We start from the raw sequence: 20,700 nt of genomic DNA, 5'->3' as shown, positions 1-20,700 counted from the left end.
TAGCATCTGGATCATTTTATTTCAATTGTTCACTCACTTATTTGTTACATGTTTTATTGAACATCTATTTTGTGTTGGGTACTGTACTAGGAAATCATGTCATCCTAGACACTAGAAGGATCTGGGGTAATGATAAAACTGAGTGTTTTACTTTTTTTTTCTTTTTTTTGAGACGGAGTCTGGATCCGTCACCAGGCTGGTGTGCAGTGGCACGATCTTGGCTCACTGCAACCTCCACCTCCCGGGTTCAAGTGATTCTCCTGCCTCAGCCTCCTGGGTAGCTGGGACTACAGGCGCATGCCACCACGCCCGGCTAATTTTTGTATTTTTAGTAGAGACGGGGTTTCACCTTGTTTCCCAGGCTGGTCGCAAACTCCTGAGCTCAGGCAATCTGCCTGCCTTGGTCTTCCAAAGTGGTGGGATTACGGACGTGAGCCACCTCACCCGGCCGTGTTTTACTTTTAACTGTTGGTGTCTAAAATAATGAATATCAGAATTGGAAGAGGAAAAATGGGCTGCTTCATATAGACTGTATCTGATGTCTATATCCTGAACTGTGCATTTCCAGCTTCACTTGACCAGACAGGTCTTGATCTATATATGACAAAGCACGGTCATTGTGGTGACATTATATACAATATTGTGTATAGACACACACACACGCACACGCACATATACTCTCTAAATGAAGAGAAACCACCATGGAGATTTTTCAAACTCTTTAAGGTGGCTTTCTCGGGATTTCTGTGCTTTTTCCTCCCTTTCTGCCTTTATTTATCAATTTTACCTTTTTCTTTACTTGTTTCTAGCTTGATTTTCCATGGCACCTGGGCAATTATGTGTGATGTTAATTAAGTTTCAGTAGAAAACACTATGGACAATTTGGAAAAGTGGAACTCTCTCCAGAGCTTTTTATGTTCAATGGAAATAATATAGTATTCAATAATACAGAGTTTTCAGTGCACAAACCCTGTAATAATCCATTTTAATTATTGGGAAAAGGATCCCAGTGACTTCTGTTACAGAAGAGAAAGAGCAGAATATATAGAACTGAGCTTTTAGATCAAATGTAAATGTATGGGTGTTGCTGAATAGTGTTTTGCGAATCATTAAACCAGGTTATTTCTCTATATTTGATCTCTTTATGACCAAATTATAAAGACTGTGTGTATCATTGTTTCATAGATGTAGTTGTGATTACAGTACTTTAGAAAAACAGTCCTCAAACCTCAAACTTTGTGTCATCACAGAATCAGAAACTTTTACAACTAAAACAAACATGGACTCTTGTCCATCTAACTTTTAACAAATGAAGAAGAACAAAAATGGAAATAATTTACAATATTCAAATTTGTTGGTTAGATTTTTGCATATATAGTTTCATTTAATCCCACACAACATATAAATGATGCTGGGAGAAGTCAAGTAACTTGCCTACAATTACACAGTTTAGCAGTGGTAGAGTCAAGATTTGAACTTCTAGCCTTCATTTTATCTTTTATTCTATGATTTTTCCAACCCAGAGAGTTACTTAATTGTAAAAGTCACATGTCTTGTGAAAATCAAAGCCAGAGTTCAAGTCCACATCTCCTAAACCATAACCTTTTGAGCCTTCTATTATAATATATTCTTATATGAGACATCTACATAACCAATAAATTAAACAGCAAGAAAAACTTAGTGGCAAAGGTAGTTATATAAAGCATTGTCAACAGTGTAGTTGGATGAACTGTTGCATTCTTTGCTGATCATTTATGTTTCTCAAGATTCTCTTTTCTCCTAGTAACCTGGAGTTCCTTTTCCAAAACCACACACCTTTCTTTCCACAGCTGTCCCAGGCCATGTTCTTCCTTCCATACATTATCTCCTTCTGCAACTCTCACGTTGCAGTGCCTGATCGTATTCATCCAGGATTCATTCCCTTTACCATAGGGTTTGAATCTACAATAAATGGTTCCTAGATTGCAGATTCCTGCTTCCGGATGAATTTGAGCTCAGTGCCTTGCCATCAGAGCTAGGTTTTCTCACGTTCCCATAAGCCCACTCTTTTCTCATTTCTCATCACATTTTTATCTGTGTCTCTATAGATCTCTCACATACGAATATTTTTTCCTCAAGGGCAGAAACCATGTCTAATTCTTCCAGTACACCTGATCCTGCACACGCTGCCTGACACAGAGTGGGTGTTCAATGTGTCTTTGCTGAAAGGGTCAGTCCTTTGAAAGCTCATGTTTTCTTTCCAGCCCCTCATGTCATCCACAGCAACTGTTGCTAATGCAGAGTTTGACATTGGCTCGTGTTTACTCTCTAAGCTTCTGAATTTGCAAGAGAAGAGGAGTTTCTTCAGACATCACAGTGGAATTTCGTGTAGTGGGAAGCATCATTCTATCTTTAGGCCTCAGTTTCCTTGGAAAGGCTTGGAAATACCTAATTGAAAGGTAGTTCAGGGGTGCAAACAACATAGGAAAAGTAGAGATCTGGAACAATGCCTTTTACAGAGTGAGCATTGAAAAGCTTGGTGAGTGGCTTGGGAATGTTTTATAGCAAAAGGTTGGTTATAGGGAAGTATCTTTGAAATAAACACATTAAGAGATTTCTTACATGGCTTTAAAGTGATTCATACATGATGGCTTAAGGAAGATTACTTGGTTTGAAACTTTAGCCTTAAGCTTCCATCAGAACATTCCACTGTGACTCCACAAGCTTCCAGACTGGACGTTTTCAGGTCTATTCAGTGCATTATTGAATGATCTATGTCATAAAACTATTTTTCTGTTTAGGGTATATTGTACACCATTGTTGAGAGTTGAGGAAAGGCTGCAGCTTGACACATAGCTGAGAGCAGTATTACATCTAATTTAAGGTGTTTGAAAGATTTAATTCTGTAAATGTCACTCAGAATCCTTTGTATTGCATCAAACTGCAAAGACATATTGAAATGTCCTTTAGCCCAAGGTTAAACTTATTGCATATGGCAAAATACCCTGCTTATTTTTCTTGCCCTGAGAAAGAAAACTGAATAATAATCAAGGTGCATCTGATAACCTATTCCTATATCTTTGCATATATATATATATACACACACACATATATTTCCTTTTAAATAGTAGACTTCACTTGATCCCCAAATGCTATCTTCTCTACATACAACTTAACATGAAAGTCTGTGATTTGATTTTCATTTACAATTTTCCCATAACTCATATTAAATACATTTAGTTTTTAAAACGTTTAGTCTCTGCTTAGCTCTGTGCTAAGCATTGGTGGTTACAGAAATTAATTAGATGTGACTTTGCTATTCAATAATTTATAATCTAGTTGGGGGAGAGGATGGCTGCATTCATAGTGCAGGATAGATTAATGAGGCAAGAGAGCAAGCGGGAAACATTGAGACTAATATCATCCTGATATCGATAAAAGCAAATCACATCCCTGGTATTGGGGTTTGGGCTTCTCATCTGGGTCTGGAAGCAGAAATCCAGTCCAGATGCGATGCTGCCATGACATCAGCCACACCATTCGTGTAGGATTTCAATGCTCCATTGGGCCATCCCTAGATCAGTGCCAAGATAGGGAATGTATAAAAACAGAAGGTGACAGGGGCAGATTACAAACCAGTTCGTCAAGAAGCACCTCCTCCTGTCTGTAATACAAAGTCTGGATACTCAGTAAACAACCTTTACATTTTTCCAAATTAATAGACAAAACCAGATTATTGAATAAAAGGCACACCAATAGTGTCCATAAGCATGCCCATGCTTAGACTTGGCCAAGGGGACCAGCCTGTGGCTTCTGTTTATTGATCACACAGGGCAGGGCTGTGTAATTTCTATTATTTTATTTTTATTTTCAAATGTGACCTCCTACATTGTAGAAGGCAAAGAGAGGCAGGGTCTTTTGTCATGGTCTCTTTATCTGAAAAAGAAACAATGTATAGCTTGATGCCACTGTGAATCCTAATGCGTATTCTGGTGACAATATCTGTATACAATAATTACAATCTCCTGCACTCTTGCAAATTGTCGGTAAAACAGCCACTATAGTAATTACAAAGTCATTAGTGCCAATACAATTCTACTATTTTTCTACATTTGTTTTTTGGTTGGCATTTCGTGTTACTTGTGATGTGTATTAGTGACAAACAACAACAATAAAAGAAAATCCTTTGACTTTCTTTTGCCAAGACCTTGTGTTTATGGAATGCACAGTAGCCACTCTAGGAGTGCAGTCAGGGCTGAAGGAGTTATTTCGACATTTCGTCAGAGGATACATGGCACATGGCTGTTATTTTTGGGAGGCACCCTTTAGAAAGGACCTGGGGTATCCTGACTTTTTAATGATCGCCATTCTAACTGGTAGCAAAGACTTGGAAGCAACCCAAATGTCCAACAATGATAGACTGGATTAAGAAAATATGGCACATATACAACATGGAATACTATGCAGCCATAAAAAACGATGAGTTCATGTCCTTTGTAGGGACATGGATGAAGCTGGAAACCGTCATTCTCAGCAAACTATCACAAGGACAAAAAAACAAACACCACAAGTTCTCAATCATAGGTGGGAATTGAACAATGAGAACACTTGGACACAGCAATGAGAACATCACACACCGGGGCCTGTTGTGGGGTGGGGGGAGGGGGAGGGATAGCATTAGGAGGTATACCTAATGTAAATGACGAGTTAATGGGTGCAGCACACCAACATGGCACATGTATACATATGTAACAAACCTGCACGTTGTGCACATGTACCGTAGAACTTAAAGTATAATAAATATAAATAAATAAATAAATATATATATATATATATATATATATGTAGAGAGAGAGAGAGAGAGAGAGAGAGAGAGAAAGGATCTGGGGTATCCTGGAGTGGCTGACAGAATCGGAGAGAACTCGTAACCGGACCCTTGGAGGATTGGGTCAGGGAATGGGATGTGTCATTTAGTAAACTAAAGACCTGGTCTTCATCTCTATATTCAGTGCACCCTGATTACTCGGAGTTTCTAACAATCAAAGCTGCTCATCCAAAGTGCACCTGGAAGAATAGGCTCTGGTCTCTAGATAGTGGCTTTGCTGAATGTGTCTAGTTGACTGGAAGAAGCACGCAATGGGAATGTCTAATACATTGTTTCCCGCTGTCCTGAAAGGCCAGTCATGATGAGCATCTGTCCACTGCCCATTTCCAATAGAAACCACCCATGATTACAACCCCTGCTAGGAAAGGAGGCCCTGGGCTATTCTGTCTGTCCCTGTGGCATGGTGTCTACATCACTTGACCCTACCTCCACTGACTGTAGCTCATAGGACCAGGGATGGGTAACTGAGCCATGCGCAGAGCTTCCATAGACCAGTCAATGACCTGTGATAGACAGACAGGTAGAACAGGAATGGAGAAAACTGGCCACACTCTTAAGGATATCTCCAGAAGCTAAACTGGAGAATGCAGTGAGCATCAGGTTTGTGTAGTAGGAGGAGCAAAAGGTAATCAATCTGAACATGTGTCTGAGTCACTGTCAAGTGGAAGCAGGGAGCTAGTGAGAGGTGGCTCCGACTGCAGAGGGGGCAATGAGGTGACTGGCCCCTGCAGCTTCCTTAGATCCCTAACTTCTGTCTCTGTGAGATCACGAGAAACCATAGTCCTGTGTCTTCTCAGTGGCACCAAGGATTTTGTATCTGAGTGATATGTAGGGTTCTCGAACAAGGAGAGTTCAAAATCATGTGAATTACAGTAAAAGGTGGTAGCTCAAACTGTCTGTTTAAACACATATACTTACCCATTTTAAGTTTTTTTTTTTTCTTTTTCTCTTTTTTTTTTAATTTGTTTTTTTAATTATACTTTAAGTTTTAGGGTACACGTGCACATTGTGCAGGTTAGTTACATACGTATACATGTGCCATGCTGGTGTACTGCACCCACAAACTCATCATTTAGCATTAGGTATATCTCCCAATGCTATCCCTCCCCCCTCCCCCACCCCACAACAGTCCCCAGAGTGTGATGTTCCCCTTCCTGTGTCCATGTGATCTCATTGTTCAATTCCCACCTATGAGTGAGAATATGCGGTGTTTGGTTTTTTGTTCTTGCGATAGTTTACTGAGAATGATGATTTCCAATTTCATCCATGTCCCTACAAAGGACATGAACTCATCATTTTTTATGGCTGCATAGTATTCCATGGTGTATATGTGCCACATTTTCTTAATCCAGTCTATCATTGTTGGACATTTGGGTTGGTTCCAAGTTTTTGCTATTGTGAATAATGCTGCAATAAACATACGTGTGCATGTGTCTTTATAGCAGCATGATTTATAGTCCTTTGGGTATATACGCAGTAATGGGATGGCTGGGTCAAATGGTATTTCTAGTTCTAGATCCCTGAGGAATCACCACACTGACTTCCACAATGGTTGAACTAGTTTAGAGTCCCACCAACAGTGTAAAAGTGTTCCTATTTCTCCACATCCTCTCCAGCACCTGTTGTTTCCTGACTTTTTAATGATTGCCATTCTAACTGGTGTGAGATGGTATCTCATTGTGGTTTTGATTTGCATTTCTCAATGGCCAGTGATGATGAGCATTTTTTCATGTGTTTTTTGGCTGCATAAATGTCTTCTTTAGAGAAGTGTCTGTTCATATCCTTCACCCACTTGTTGATGGGGTTGTTTGTTTTTTTCTTTAAATTTGTTTGAGTTCATTGTAGATTCTGGATATTAGCCCTTTGTCAGATGAGTAGGTTGCGAAAATTTTCTCCCATTTTGTAGGTTGCCTGTTCACTTTGATGGTAGTTTCTTTTGCTGTGCAGAAGCTCGTTAGTTTAATTAGATCCCATTTGTCAATTTTGTCTTTTGTTGCCATTGCTTTTGGTGTTTTAGTCATGAAGTCCTTGCCCATGCCTATGTCCTGAATGGTAATGCCTAGGTTTTCTTCTAGGGTTTTTATGGTTTTAGGTCTAACGTTTAAGTCTTTAACCCATCATGAATTGATTTTTGTATAAGGTGTAAGGAAGGGATCCATTTTCAGCTTTCTGCATATGGCTAGCCAGTTTTCCCAGCACCATTTATTAAATGGGGAATCCTTTCCCCAATGCTTGTTTTTCTCAGGTTTGTCAAAGATCAGATAGTTGTAGATATGCGGCATTATTTCTGAGGGCTCTGTTCTGTTCCGTTGATCTGTATCTCTGTTTTGGTACCAGTACCATGCTGTTTTGGTTACTGTAGCCTTGTAGTATAGTTTGAAGTCAGGTAGCGTGATGCCTCCAGCTTTGTTCTTTTGGCTTAGGATTGACTTGGTGATGCGGGCTCTTTTTTGGTTCCCTATGAACTTTAAAGTAGTTTTTTCCAATTCTGTGAAGAAAGGCATTGGTAGCTTGATGGGGATGGCATTGAATCTGTAAATTACCTTGGGCAGTATGGCCATTTTCACAATATTGATTCTTCCTATCCATAAGCATGGAATGTTCTTCCATTTGTTTGTATCCTCTTTTATTTCCTTGAGCAGTGGTTTGTAGTTCTCCTTGAAGAGGTCCTTCACATCCCTTGTAAGTTGGATTCCTAGGTATTTTATTCTCTTTGAAGCAATTGTGAATGGGAGTTCACTCATGATTTGGCTCTCTGTTTGTCTGTTGTTGGTGTATAGGAATGCTTGTGATTTTTGCACATTGATTTTGTATCTTGAGACTTTGCTGCAGTTGCTTATCGGCTTAAGGAGATTTTGGGCTGAGACAATGGGGTTTTCTAGATATACAATCATGTCGTCTGCAAACAGGGACAATTTGACTTCCTCTTTTCCTAATTGAATACCCTTTATTTCCTTCTCCTGCCTAATTGCCCTGGCCAGAACTTCCAACACTATGTTGAATAGGAGTGGTGAGAGAGGGCATCCCTGTCTTGTGCCAGTTTTCAAAGGGAATGCTTCCAGTTTTTGCCCATTCAGTATGATATTGGCTATGGGTTTGTCATAGATAGTTCTTATTATTTTGAAATATGTCCCATCAATACCTAATTTATTGAGAGTTTTTAGCATGAAGGGTTGTTGAATTTTGTCAAAGACCTTTTCTGCATCTATTGAGATAATCGTGTGGTTTTTGTCTTTGGCTCTGTTTATATGATGGATTACATTTATGGATTTGCGTATATTAAACCAGCCTTGCATCCCAGGGATGAAGCCCACTTGATCATGGTGGATAAGCTTTTTGATGTGCTGCTGGATTCTGTTTGCCAGTATTTTATTGAGGATTTTTGCATCAATGTTCATCAAGGATATTGGTCTAAAATTCTCTTTTATCGTTGTGTCTCTGCCCGGCTTTGGTATCAGAATGATGCTGGCCTCATAAAATAAGTTAGGGAGGATTCCCTCTTTTTCTATTGATTGGGATAGTTTCAGAAGGAATGGTACCAGTTCCTCCTTGTACCAGTGGTAGAATTCGGCTGTGAATCCATCTGGTCCTGGACTCTTTTTGGTTGGTAAGCTATTGATTATTGCCACAATTTCAGATCCTGTTATTAGTCTATTCAGAGATTCAAATTCTTCCTGGTTTAGTCTTGGGAGGGTGTATGTGTCGAGGAATTTATCCATTTCTTCTAGATTTTCTAGTTTATTTGCGTAGAGGTGTTTGTAGTATTCTCTGATGGTAGTTTGTATTTCTGTGGGATCGGTGGTGATATCCCCTTTATCATTTTTTATTGCATCTGTTTGATTCTTCTCTCTTTTTTTCTTTATTAGTCTTGCTAGTGGTCTATCAATTTTGTTGATCCCTTCAAAAAACCAGCTCCTGGATTCATTAATTTTTTGAAGGGTTTTTTGTGTCTCGATTTCCTTCAGTTCTGCTCTGATTTTAGTTATTTCTTGCCTTCTGCTAGCTTTTGAATGTGTTTGCTCTTGCTTTTCTAGTTCTTTTAATTGTGATGTTAGGGTGTCAATTTTAGATCTTTCCTGCTTTCTCTTGTGGGCATTTAGTGCTATAAATTTCCCTCTACACACTGCTTTGAATGCGTCCCAGAGATTCTGGTATGTTGTGTCTTTGTTCTCGTTGGCTTCAAAGAACATCTTTATTTCTGCCTTCATTTCATTATGTACCCAGTAGTCATTCAGGAGCAGGTTGTTCAGTTTCCATGTAGTTGAGCGGTTTTGAGTGAGATTCTTAATCCTGAGTTCTAGTTTGATTGCACTGTGGTCTGAGAGATAGTTTGTTATAATGTCTGTTCTTTTACATTTGCTGAGGAGAGCTTTACTTCCAAGCATGTGGTCAATTTTGGAATAGGTGTGGCGTGGTGCTGAAAAAAATGTATATTCTGTTGATTTGGGGTGGAGAGTTCTGTAGATGTCTATTAGGTCCGCTTGGTGCAGAGCTGAGTTCAATTCCTGGGTATCCTTGTTGACTGTCTGTCTCGTTGATCTGTCTAATGTTGACAGTGGGGTGTTAAAGTCTCCCATTATTAATGTGTGGGAGTCTAAGTCTCTTTGTAGGTCACTCAGGACTTGCTTTATGAATCTGGGTGCTCCTGTATTGGGTGCATATCTATTTAGGATAGTTAGCTCTTCTTGTTGAATTGATCCCTTTACCATTATGTAACAGCCTTCTTTGTCTCTTTTGATCTTTGTTGGTTTAAAGTCTGTTTTATCAGAGACTAGGATTGCAACCCCTGCCTTTTTTTGTTTTCCATTTGCTTGGTAGATCTTCCTCCATCCCTTTATTTGGAGCCTATGTGTGTCCCTGCACGTGAGATGGATTTCCTGAATACAGCACACTGATGGGTCTTGACTCTTTATCCAATTTGCCAGTCTGTGTCTTTTAATTGAAGCATTTAGTCCATTTACATTTAAAGTTAATAGTGTTATGTGCGAATTTGATCCTGTCATTATGATGTTAGCTGGTTATTTTGCTCGTTAGTTGATGCAGTTTCTTCCTAGTCTTGATGGTCTTTACATTTTGGCATGAATTTGCAGTGGCTGGTACTGGTTGTTCCTTTCCATGTTTAGCGCTTCCTTCAGGAGCTCTTTTAGGGCAGGCCTGGTGGTGACAAAATCTCTCAGCATTTGCTTGTCCGTAAAGGATTTTATTTCTCCTTCACTTATGAAGCTTACTTTGGCTGGATATGAAATTCTGGGTTGAAAATTCTTTTCTTTAAGAATGTTGAATATTGGTCCCCACTCTCTTCTGGCTTGTAGGGTTTCTGCTGAGAGATCCGCTGTTAGTCTGATGGGCTTCCCTTTGAGGGTAACCCGACCTTTCTCTCTGGCTGCCCTTAACATTTTTTCCTTCATTTCAACTTTGCTGAATCTGACAATTATGTGTCTTGGAGTTGCTCTTCTCGAGGAGTATCTTTGTGGCGTTCTCTGTATTTCCTGAATCTGAACGTTGGCCTGCCTTGCTAGATTGGGGAAATTCTGCTGGATAATATCCTGCAGAGTGTTTTCCAACTTGGTTCCATTCTCCCCATCATTTTCAGGTACACGAATCAGAGGTAGATTTGGTCTTTTCACATAGTCCCATATTTCTTGGAGGCTTTGCTTGTTTCTTTTTATTGTTTGTTCTCTATACTTTCCTTCTCGCTTCATTTCATTCATTTCATCTTCCATGGCTGATACCCTTTCTTCCAGTTGATCGCATCAGCTCCTGAGACTTCTGCATTCTTCATGTAGTTCTCGAGCCTTGGTTTTCAGCTCCATCAGCTCCTTTAAGCACTTCTCTGTATTGGTTATTCTAGTTATACATTCTTCTGAATTTTTTTCAAAGTTTTCAACTTCTTTGCCTTTGGTTTGAATGTCCTCCCGTAGCTCAGAGTAATTTGATCGTCTGAAGCCTTCTTCTCTCAGCTCATCAAAGTCATTCTCCGTCCAGCTTTGTTCTGTTGCTGGTGAGGAGCTGTGTTCCTTTGGAGGAGGAGAGGCGCTCTGATTTTTAGAGTTTCCAGTTTTTCTGCTCTGTTTTTTCCCCATCTTTGTGGTTTTATCTACTTTTGGTCTTTGATGATGGTGATGTACAGATGGGTTTTTGGTGTGGATGTCCTTTCTGTTTGTTAGTTTTCCTTCTAACAGAGAGGACCCTCAGCTGCAGGTCTGTTGGAGTACCCTGCCGTGTGAGGTGTCAGTGTGCCCCTGCTGGAGGGTGCCTCCCAATCAGGCTGCTCAGGGGTCAGGGGTCAGGGACCCACTTGAGGAGGCAGTCTGCCCGTTCTCAGATCTCCAGCTGCGTACTGGGAGAACCCCTGCTCTCTTCAAAGCTGTCAGACAGGGACATTTAAGTCTGCAGAAGTTACTGCTGTCTTTTTGTTTGTCTGTGCCCTGCCCCCAGAGGTGGAGCCTACAGAGGCAGGCAGGCCTCCTTGAGCTGTGGTGGGCTCTGCCCAGTTCGAGCTTCCCCGCTGCTTTGTTTACCTAATCAAGCCTGGGCAATGGCGGGCGCCCCTCCCCCAGCCTCGCTGCCGCCTTGCAGTTTGATCTCAGACTGCTGTGCTAGCAATCAGCGAGACTCCGTGGGGTAGGACCCTCCCAGCCAGGTGCGGGATATAATCTTGTGGTGCGCCGTTTTTTAAGCCCGTCGGAAAAACGCAGTATTCGGGTGGGAGTGACCCGATTTTCCAGGTGCTGTCCATCACCCCTTTCTTTGATTAGGAAAGGGAACTCCCTGACCCCTTGCGCTTCCCGAGTGAGGCAATGCCTCGCCCTGCTTCGGCTCGCGCACGGTGCACGCACCCACTGACCTGTGCCCACTGTCTGGCACTCCCTAGTGAGATGAACCCGGTACCTCAGATGGAAATGCAGAAATCACCCGTCTTCTGCGACGCTCAGGCTGGGAGCTGTAGACTGGAGCTGTTCCTATTTGGCCATCTTGGCTCCTCCCAACTTAAGTTTTTTTTTAAAGCCGTTTACATACGTGTTTCAGTCTAGTTTGTGAAATAGAGAAGGCAAATATTGTTTCCCCAAATTTAGACAGAGACAATCTGAGATTCAGGGAAGCTTAAGAAATCAATCCCCTATTTCCAAGACAATTATGGACAAAAAGACTTAAAGGTGGCTCTAATCTTATCCAAATATTTTGAGAGTCTACAGAACCTGAAATTGATGTATAAAGTGCTGCATAAAGACACACTGTGCTGTTATCACAGGTGACAAATGATGCATGTGCTGATTCTCCTCTTAGGTCCTTACCAAGCTCTGTGAGCCAAGCCCATCTGATGGGTGAGGTGCAGAGTTTAAGTGTTTGACCAAGATTGTGTTACCAGTAAATGGACAACACCAGCATTCCCTCTCCAATCTTCTCTCTAGGTCTAGTAGTGTTTTCCATTCAAATGTTCATGGAGATGCAGTCGAAGTTACTTTTATAGTGGCTGCTGCCTACAAACAGCATCCCCAGGGAAGGACAATAGGTCTTGATGGGGAAGTAGGAGGGCCCTAAGCACCGAGTGCATGGAGGGCAGATGTGAGGGACACTTTGAACCAATTCCACAATTTGCCTCAGGCCTTCTGTTTTAGAAATCCTTAAGTCACTGAGTAAACGTGACATGCAAGGATGTGTGCAGGGGCAAAGAGGTGCAAGACAGCAGGCCAGGCACTTTCTTAATCCTACAAGCCAGTGTCGTGATCCACATCTTACAGCTGAGGGGATTGTGCTCCAGCAACTGGACTTCACAATGGAGCTTGGGTTGATCTCTGAGGCTCTTCATCTTCCCTACATCATTGTCAGCCAGACCTGGATTCAACTGACCCCTTGTAACTTCTCCCACCTAATCTACCTCATTCTCCTGTGCCCCTCCTACTTCCTCTTCATCTTCTCCTGTCCAGGCATGGAGCTTGTTTGCTGGTCCTTGAGCACCTGAGCGTGCTACTGCCTCAAGGCATTTTCACGGCAGTTCCCTCTCCTGGATGCTCCTCCTCCAGGGAGCAGCAAGGCACACTCCTCTGTATTCTGATCTTCATTTCACAGTCCTTCTCAGCCAGGATTTTCCTGAACCTCTGATAAAACATCTCACTGCTCCCCATCTCTGCCCCAGAAGCTTCAGAGCCTTCTTCCCGCTTCATCTTTTCTCCTTGGCATTTACCACCGTCCACCTTACTACCTGTCTTATTCATCTTATTGGTTGTTGGTCTTTCCTCTCTAGGGTGCCGGCTCCATGGCTCCATGAAGGCAGGCGGTTTGTTTTGTTTTTGTGGCCTGCTTTCCACTTCTGAATTCCAGTGCCCTGGCACTTAGGCCATCTATTAAAAATGTGATGATGAATGAATGAATGAAAACGTGTCTGACTCACAGTAAGTGAATATTGGCTAACAAATCCCTAAGCCCGAGTTCCTTTTTGCTAGAGCACACCCCCACCTCCCTACCTGAAGCATCCGTCTTGAACTGGTTCTATCTAACTAAGCACAGGGATCCTCTCCAGTGCTGTCTGATTATCCACCTCTTCCACCCAAGGGAAACACACTATTGCAGCCTATGGCTGGAAATGTAACCTACAGGGAGAGCCTCCCTGGGTTTTATGCCTGGGGCAGAGACAGGAATTCACAGGGCCTGCAGAGGGCGCCCAAAGCCCAGCAAATAGCGGAACTCTCACGGAAGTTCAGAGGACTGGAGCTCCTGCTTCCTAACGCTCTCTGCTTGGAATTTGAGCCAGAAAAAGAGAAGACGGTGTGTTAGTCCGTTCTTACACTGCTAATAAAGACATACCGGGACTGGGTAATTGATCAAGGAAAGAGGTTTAATTGACTCACAGTTCCACATGGCTGGGGAGGCCTCACAATCATGGTGGAAGGCAGGTGAGGAGCAAAGGCACGGATGGCAGGCAAGAGAGCTTTGTGCAGGGAAACTCCCATTTAGAAAACTGTCATATCTCATGAGACTTATTCACTACCACGAGAACAGCATGGGGGAAACCGCCCCCTTGATTCAATTACCTCCCGCAACATGTTGGAATTATGGAGGCTACAATTCAAGGTGAGATTTGGGTGGGGACACAGCCAAATTGTATCATTTGGGATTTGTTCTTTGGATACAAGAGAGGAGCATGGAAGTTAAGAAGTTAGAATCAGCGAGGTGCAGCATGATGTCTTAGAATTTTTAGCTAGGATTAGCATGATGAATGAATTTACTCCAGTTCAATCCTCAAACTGTTACTGAGGGATATTGTGTGCCAGCCATCGGTCTAGGAATGGGACTCCGTGTAGGAATAGCATGCCCCCCTTACCTGATTCTGGCTTTTTATTCAGTTACCAGCTAGAAAGTTGCCTCCTTAGAAAGAGATGTGCAGGTTCTCCTCTGAAAGATGGTATTCAATAGTTGCATTTAAAGAGAACTCTGTTGCTGTCTGTAGGGGCAATGATGTAATCCACAGGAGTTCTGTGGGAACCATTTATTCTTTCAATAAACAAATATTTATTGAGAACCTATAATGTCCCAGGCTGTGTTATAAGCACTTGAGATGATCGGTTGCCCAAACAGAAAAGATCCCTGCTTTGATGAAACTTATATTCTAGTGAGGGAGTTATACATTGACAACAAACAATAAATGAAGAAGGGTGATTGATTTTTGTTATACTATGTACTCCAGGAAGTTCTCCCAGCTGACCAGAATTGGATTTCTTTTTTCCTCTCTCTTCTCTGTAATATTCTTTATCTGTGTCACAGTCCACACCATGCTGGTCCCAATAATATTATTGATCAACCCCTTTAAATCAACCTTTCTTCACTTTTCTTATCTATAAAACAGTAGCAATAACTCTGTCTGCCCTGTGTATCTTACACAGTTTCAGGGAAACCCAGATCCACATTTCTTAGCCAATGACCTCGGCCCTCTTTGTCCTTTACTTTTCTCTTGGAGGCCTCTGCTAATCTGTCCCCATGGGATTCCCGGAGGGGTGCTAAGGTTGCCTGATCCAGTTGCTCCAAGATCATGGACAGAGTCAGAGAATGAAAAAAGACAGACATTTGCATAGAAATAAGCAGGTAAGGCAAATTTATCCCCCAAATCTACCCCTTTTAGGTCTGCAATGCCCACCCCCCCCCCGCCCATTAAAAATATTGCGTAAAATACTATTTCATTCAAACCTCACAGACAGCTGTCAACTTTGCAAAACAGTTGCCAGCTTGGCATTGTATTAACACTGAGGATGGGTGAGCAACAGTTTTGTGCTTGTGTAAACAAAGACACATTGTAACCCCTTCCCCTGTCTCCACCCCCACTTGAGGGAACTGGAGTCTCCATCTGCAGACTCAGAAAACTACTGTGCCTTAGGAGGACGCCCTCCAGACTCCCCTGAACATCATTCCCTACTCAGACAAGTCTCCAAAGTCTTTACATGTGTGAAACATTGTTGACATTCTTGCCTCTTGAGCTATTCTGTAAATATGAATGCTTCTTTGTTACTTTCCCATTATTCCTGTAGAGAAACTGGGACCCAAAGATAATGCAAGGTGATATAATGTGCAAAGAGCTCTAGGGATATAGAGGCAAGGAGCAATGATGCTTAGGGGAGGTGGGGTGGGGGAGTTATAATGAGGGGGAGATTTGGCTGGATTGTGAACAAAGATCCAGAGTTTTCCAGATAGAGGATGGAGGGAGGAGGAGCAGGCAAAGCAAACAGCCTGTGCAAAGGCACGGGTACAGGTGTGCAGGAATGCGTCTGGGGACTGACGAGGGCTGCCTTATGCTGAGGGAGGAGGGAGGCTTTGGGGTAGGTCCTGGCTGCATGTGAAATTAGAAGAGCATCATAAGCACAATTTTCTGAACTGGAATAGGACGAGTGAATGGATATTATAGGTCGCAAATCCACGTTACAGAGCTTATGCAATAAAATGCTTAATATGCAATAAAACTCTAAAGTGCACAGCAAATCGACGCTAAAAGCTTAGGACATGATGGATGGCATCAGTCTGACCATTGCTGGGTCAATTCTGATGGCCATATGGGAGCAGGCTGAATGCCAGCCGCTAGAGCAGGGGACTGTCAGGGCACATTGCATAATTCTAAGAACAACTATGATCTAGTGTTGAGTGTTTTTATTGTGTGTACATTTTTAAGTGATATTAGTTATAAAAACTGATATTATTACATGCTAAGAACTCTGCCTAGCACCATGCATGTGACACAGCTTGCTGAAAATGGTGAAAAGCTGACGTAGCACCACAAACCCATCTCTAACCAGTCAAAGGCAGTTGGATACCAAAATCCCCGGTGGGACGCCTGGTGCATGCAATTGCTGGCCCAGTGCCTGTCAAATAATCAGCCCAGACATGGCTAGGTAACCAACAACACTAAGAGATTGGTGCTTTGCTAAAGTGGATCAAAGGTAGCATGCAGGGACTTTAGTTTTAAAGAATGTATTCTACTTCTCCCCCACTGACTCTGATCTCCCAGGGCTTTGGTTCCTGAAGGGATGGGGCCTCCTGTTGCTAGTAAAATTTCTATCAATACCATTCTTGTTTCACTCTCTTAGTCTATTTCTTTAAACACAGGCATCATGCCATATAGTCCTCAAAACCCCATGAAATACGTATGAATATTACTTCCATTTTATTGATGCAGAAACAGAAACTTGGAGAGTAATTTGCCGACAACACACAGCTGACAGGGAGACCAGGACACCAGCACTTAACGTCAGGGAGTCTGGGCCAAAGTCTTTGTTCTTAGAGAAATACCACACTGCCAGCATCAATTCCCCTCTGTTATCTTTTTATTGTTCCTCTTTATTTACTTTTATTTCAATGAATTAGCTTATTCCAAAGAGAATATTACAGGCATAGTCATTTGACAGATGGGGTGTAGGGAGAGAAATGGCAGGGTCATGGAGGGAAATGACCTACTACTCACTGTTTCCAAAGGTAAAAATAATTGACTAAAGTTTCCTGAAGATCTGCTCTGTTCAGCAACACTAATATCAATTCCTTCTTTCCTTAGACTACAGAGACATTGGTGTTTTTAGAGCTGGTAGTTCCCCTTAAAATCATCAGTTCAATCACTTTATTTTACCAATGAGAAAACTGAGGCTCAGAAAGGGCACCTCAGTTGCTCCAGGACACACGGTTCAGTGACCTAATCTACAGGATACCAGGAGATTTGCCCCCAGCCCCATACTGGTAGCACCACTCCCTGCGTCCCTTTGTATATATGTGTGGTATTTATTAACAGCTTCTAAGCCAGGAGGTTTTACTCTTGCTTCTCCATCAGGAGGCTGGGGGTTGCTTTTGTTCCGAATCTCCTTTCCTCTACCCATCTCATAAAAAAAAAAAAAAAAAATGATATCCCCTCCGCCAAAAAAAACAAAAAACCGAAACAAACAAAACAAAACTTATGTCTGGCTCAGGAACAGAATAACTTTTCCTCATATTTTAATCAGTAGGCTCTCTAAGTCCTTTTAAATTGACACCAGTTGTTAGACTAATTCTCATTAAACCCTGGGCATGTAGGTTGAACGTTAATATTTGCTTTTTGGCTTCATATCATCTTCATTTCCCCCAATAATATATTTTCCAATAAGTGAAACGGAAAAAGCTTTTGGCCATGTTTCCTTTCCCATGCCCTTTTCCACCTTGCCCTCACTTCTGCCCACTCCATGGGGCCCATGGAGGCTTCTCCGCCTGCATGGAGGATGGTAATTAAAGATGAGTCAGAGTAATTGGAAATGGATCTTGGGCTCAGAACATCAAGGGAAAATAAAATCTGTCCTTGCATTTATAAAAAAAGCTCATTTCACAGACATCATTTAAAGATATACATGAAAAACATCACCTCCTGTTAAAAAAAAAAAATCTTTAATGGCTTCTCATTGCTCTTAGGGAAAATCATCTAAGTTTCTGCTGAGATCTGAGCACAATCATGACCCAGCCTGGTGTAAGCTCTGATTCTTTTGCTTACCGTTAAATCTCCCAGAACCCAGCACAGTGTCTGGATCATGAATTGTATGTGTTGTTATTATTCATTCATTCACTGTCTACTATGAACCTACTTTGTGCTAGGCGTTGAGGATGGAGGGGGGCTAAACAATCTTGGAGACTCCCTCAGTCAAGTGTGCACGTCGCATCCCAAGAGTGGAGACTTCTGGAATGATGAGTAAGGAGCTCAGTGGACTTTATCCCCAGCACAACCACAACTTCTCTGGTGAGAATTATTTTAAAAAATCATCAGAATTTCAAAAACAAATTTGCACCAAATTAAGTAGGGAAGAAAGAGTTTATTCAAGGCCATTGCAATAGAGGAGCGAGGCCAGGACTCAGTCAGAGCTGAACTTTGCTGAAACAAAAGGCAGGAAGGACTTCAAGTGCTGGAGTGTGAAGGAGATCATGGGCCATCTGTGTTTGTCAATTGATTTTACTCAAGAAAAGTAAACATTTTCACCTTATGACAGGAGGGAGTCCAACAACTTGGAGCAATGCACTCACCAAAGTCAGGCTCCCACCTTGTAGCAGAGGCTGGGAGAAAGGGACGGTACTTCTGTGACGATTGTGTTGCAAAGAGATGGTTCCCAGGGTCCGGAGATAGACAGTTCTGGGTTGTGAAACTGACAAAAGGCTTGGTAAGAGATTTATATCACAGGGGCTCGGAGAAATAATGCACAATTAATAGTTTTCTAAAGTAAATATTCCAAGAAAAGAGAGTCCAAGGGTCCTAGAGGCAGGAAGAAGCCTGTCTAAAGTTTAGTCAAGGTGGTGAGGAAAATGTGAGGGCTGTCTTGGAAGTTGTCCTAAGGGCATACTAAAATGGAGAAACAGTCATTCAAGAAAATGTACTAACTCTCAGTGAGAACAGTGGAAGCCTGTGACATTTGAGCCCGACACTGCTTCACTGCTCGCATCAAGGTCCATGTTACAGAAGTTCTATCTTGGCACATTCAGCCGAGGAGATGGGCTTCCTCTCCCTCAGTTCCAGTCTGGGCTATGCTTTCACTGTGGAAGGGGCAGGCTGCCTTGTGATGTAGAGACTCCATTTCCAACAACCATGTAACCTTGGGAAAAGACTCTAAGCTCCAGAGGAGAACAAAGAGCACTCACCACCATGATTGTAGCCTTGGGAGGGCTTGAGAGCCTTGTTAGGCCATGCCTGACTTCTGACCCATGGAAGTTGTTAGATAATAGATGTGTGTTGTTTTAAGCCCCTAAAAATGTGATCATTTTATGGTGCTCTCTGACCTACTACATCACTCCTTCTTTTACATCCACGTTACAGATCAAGCATCTGCAACTCACAAAAGGAGCTCGCCAAAAGTCGTAGAGCCAACAAGAAGGGCCAGAATGGGGGTGGGGGTGGGCGGGGTATTCCTTTTCTTCCAATCTGAGGATTTCCTGGTTTTCCAAGCAATCTCACATCTGCGCGGCTTTCTACTGATTCTTGCAAAAACTTTGTGTGGTGGCAAAGTAAGGGCTGCTATTGTGAGTATTAAAGGATTGATAGTTGAGAGAAGTGAGGCTCCTAGAGGCTTGGGGATTCATCTAAGGCGGCATCTCTGGCTCTAATATTGTTACCTGCACCATCTTCCCCATCACAATTCTTTTGTTGGGATTAGGAATGTGGGATTTGGTTGAGCAGTGAAAAAGCAGTCTTGGAAATCTATAAAATTCTGACTTCTGAAGGCAACTGACATCACCACTGGGGATGATGATTGCTCAAACTAATTTTGGATAGCAGGATGATAAGTTTCTACATCTGGAAAATTCAAAAAATAATGTCTTCTTAATCTCCTGCATAAATTTCATCAACATCTCCTTTGTCACTGAAAAGAGTCTGAAGAAGAAAAAGAAAAAACTCATAATGTTATGTGTATTTAATTTAGATTTTATGAGCTTCTGATTTGCCCTTCTTTAAGTCAGAAGAGCTATGAGGAACTCTGCTGTTCTTGCCAGCGTATTTGGTAAAATGAATTTTAAAAGACATAACAGGTCTTGCACCTAATTGAATGAGTGCATTTGCAGAGATTGAGCTGATCAACCTATGCAAGAAGACAGACCTGGGGCGAATCCTAACTCTCTCTCTGAGTGGCAGAGTGAGCAAGTGGCTTAACCATTACTGAGTCCTGTTAGAAAATGAGGGCAATAATAACTACTACATAGTTGGGTGGAGGTTTATGCGAGATGTCATTCGGTAGATATTTGTTTAGCTGAACTATACGTATTTGGCACAATACTTAGTACAAAGCATATTTCTCACTAATATTAATTGTGCTTTTCACATGTTCTTCTACCCAGAATACTTATCTGTTTATAAAATCAGAATTTTTTATTCTTTCTTCCTCAAAATTGCTCCTACTCCAGTGTTCACTGTTCCAGTAAATGAACCAACACAGATCTAGATGCGCAAGCCCAATGCCCAGGAAACCTTTCCTGCCTCTCTCTCCTCACTGGTCCATAGTCATTGCTTTATTAAGTCCTCTGACACCTCCATCACAACATATCCCAAATTCAATGACTCCTCACCATTTTCATGGGTCTATCCTAGTTCAAACTACCATCATTGTTGGTTTGGATCAATGCAAGAGTCTCTCAATGATTCTCTCCACCTTCCTGCTTGACCTAATTCACTCATTCTCTTGAAGTGGTCATACATATCACTCCCTCTTTAAAACTCCAGTGAGGCTGGGTGCAGTGGCTCACGCCTGTAATCCCAGCACTTTGGGAGGCTGAGGTGGGCGGATCACAAGGTCAGGAGATCAAGACCATCCTGATTAACATGGTGAAACCCCGTCTCTACTAAAAATACAAAAAATTAGCCG

Source organism: Homo sapiens, chromosome 8 (genome assembly GCF_000001405.40).
Source record: "Homo sapiens chromosome 8, GRCh38.p14 Primary Assembly".
Taxonomy (NCBI): domain Eukaryota; kingdom Metazoa; phylum Chordata; class Mammalia; order Primates; family Hominidae; genus Homo; species Homo sapiens.
This window is presented reverse-complemented; position numbering follows the sequence as displayed.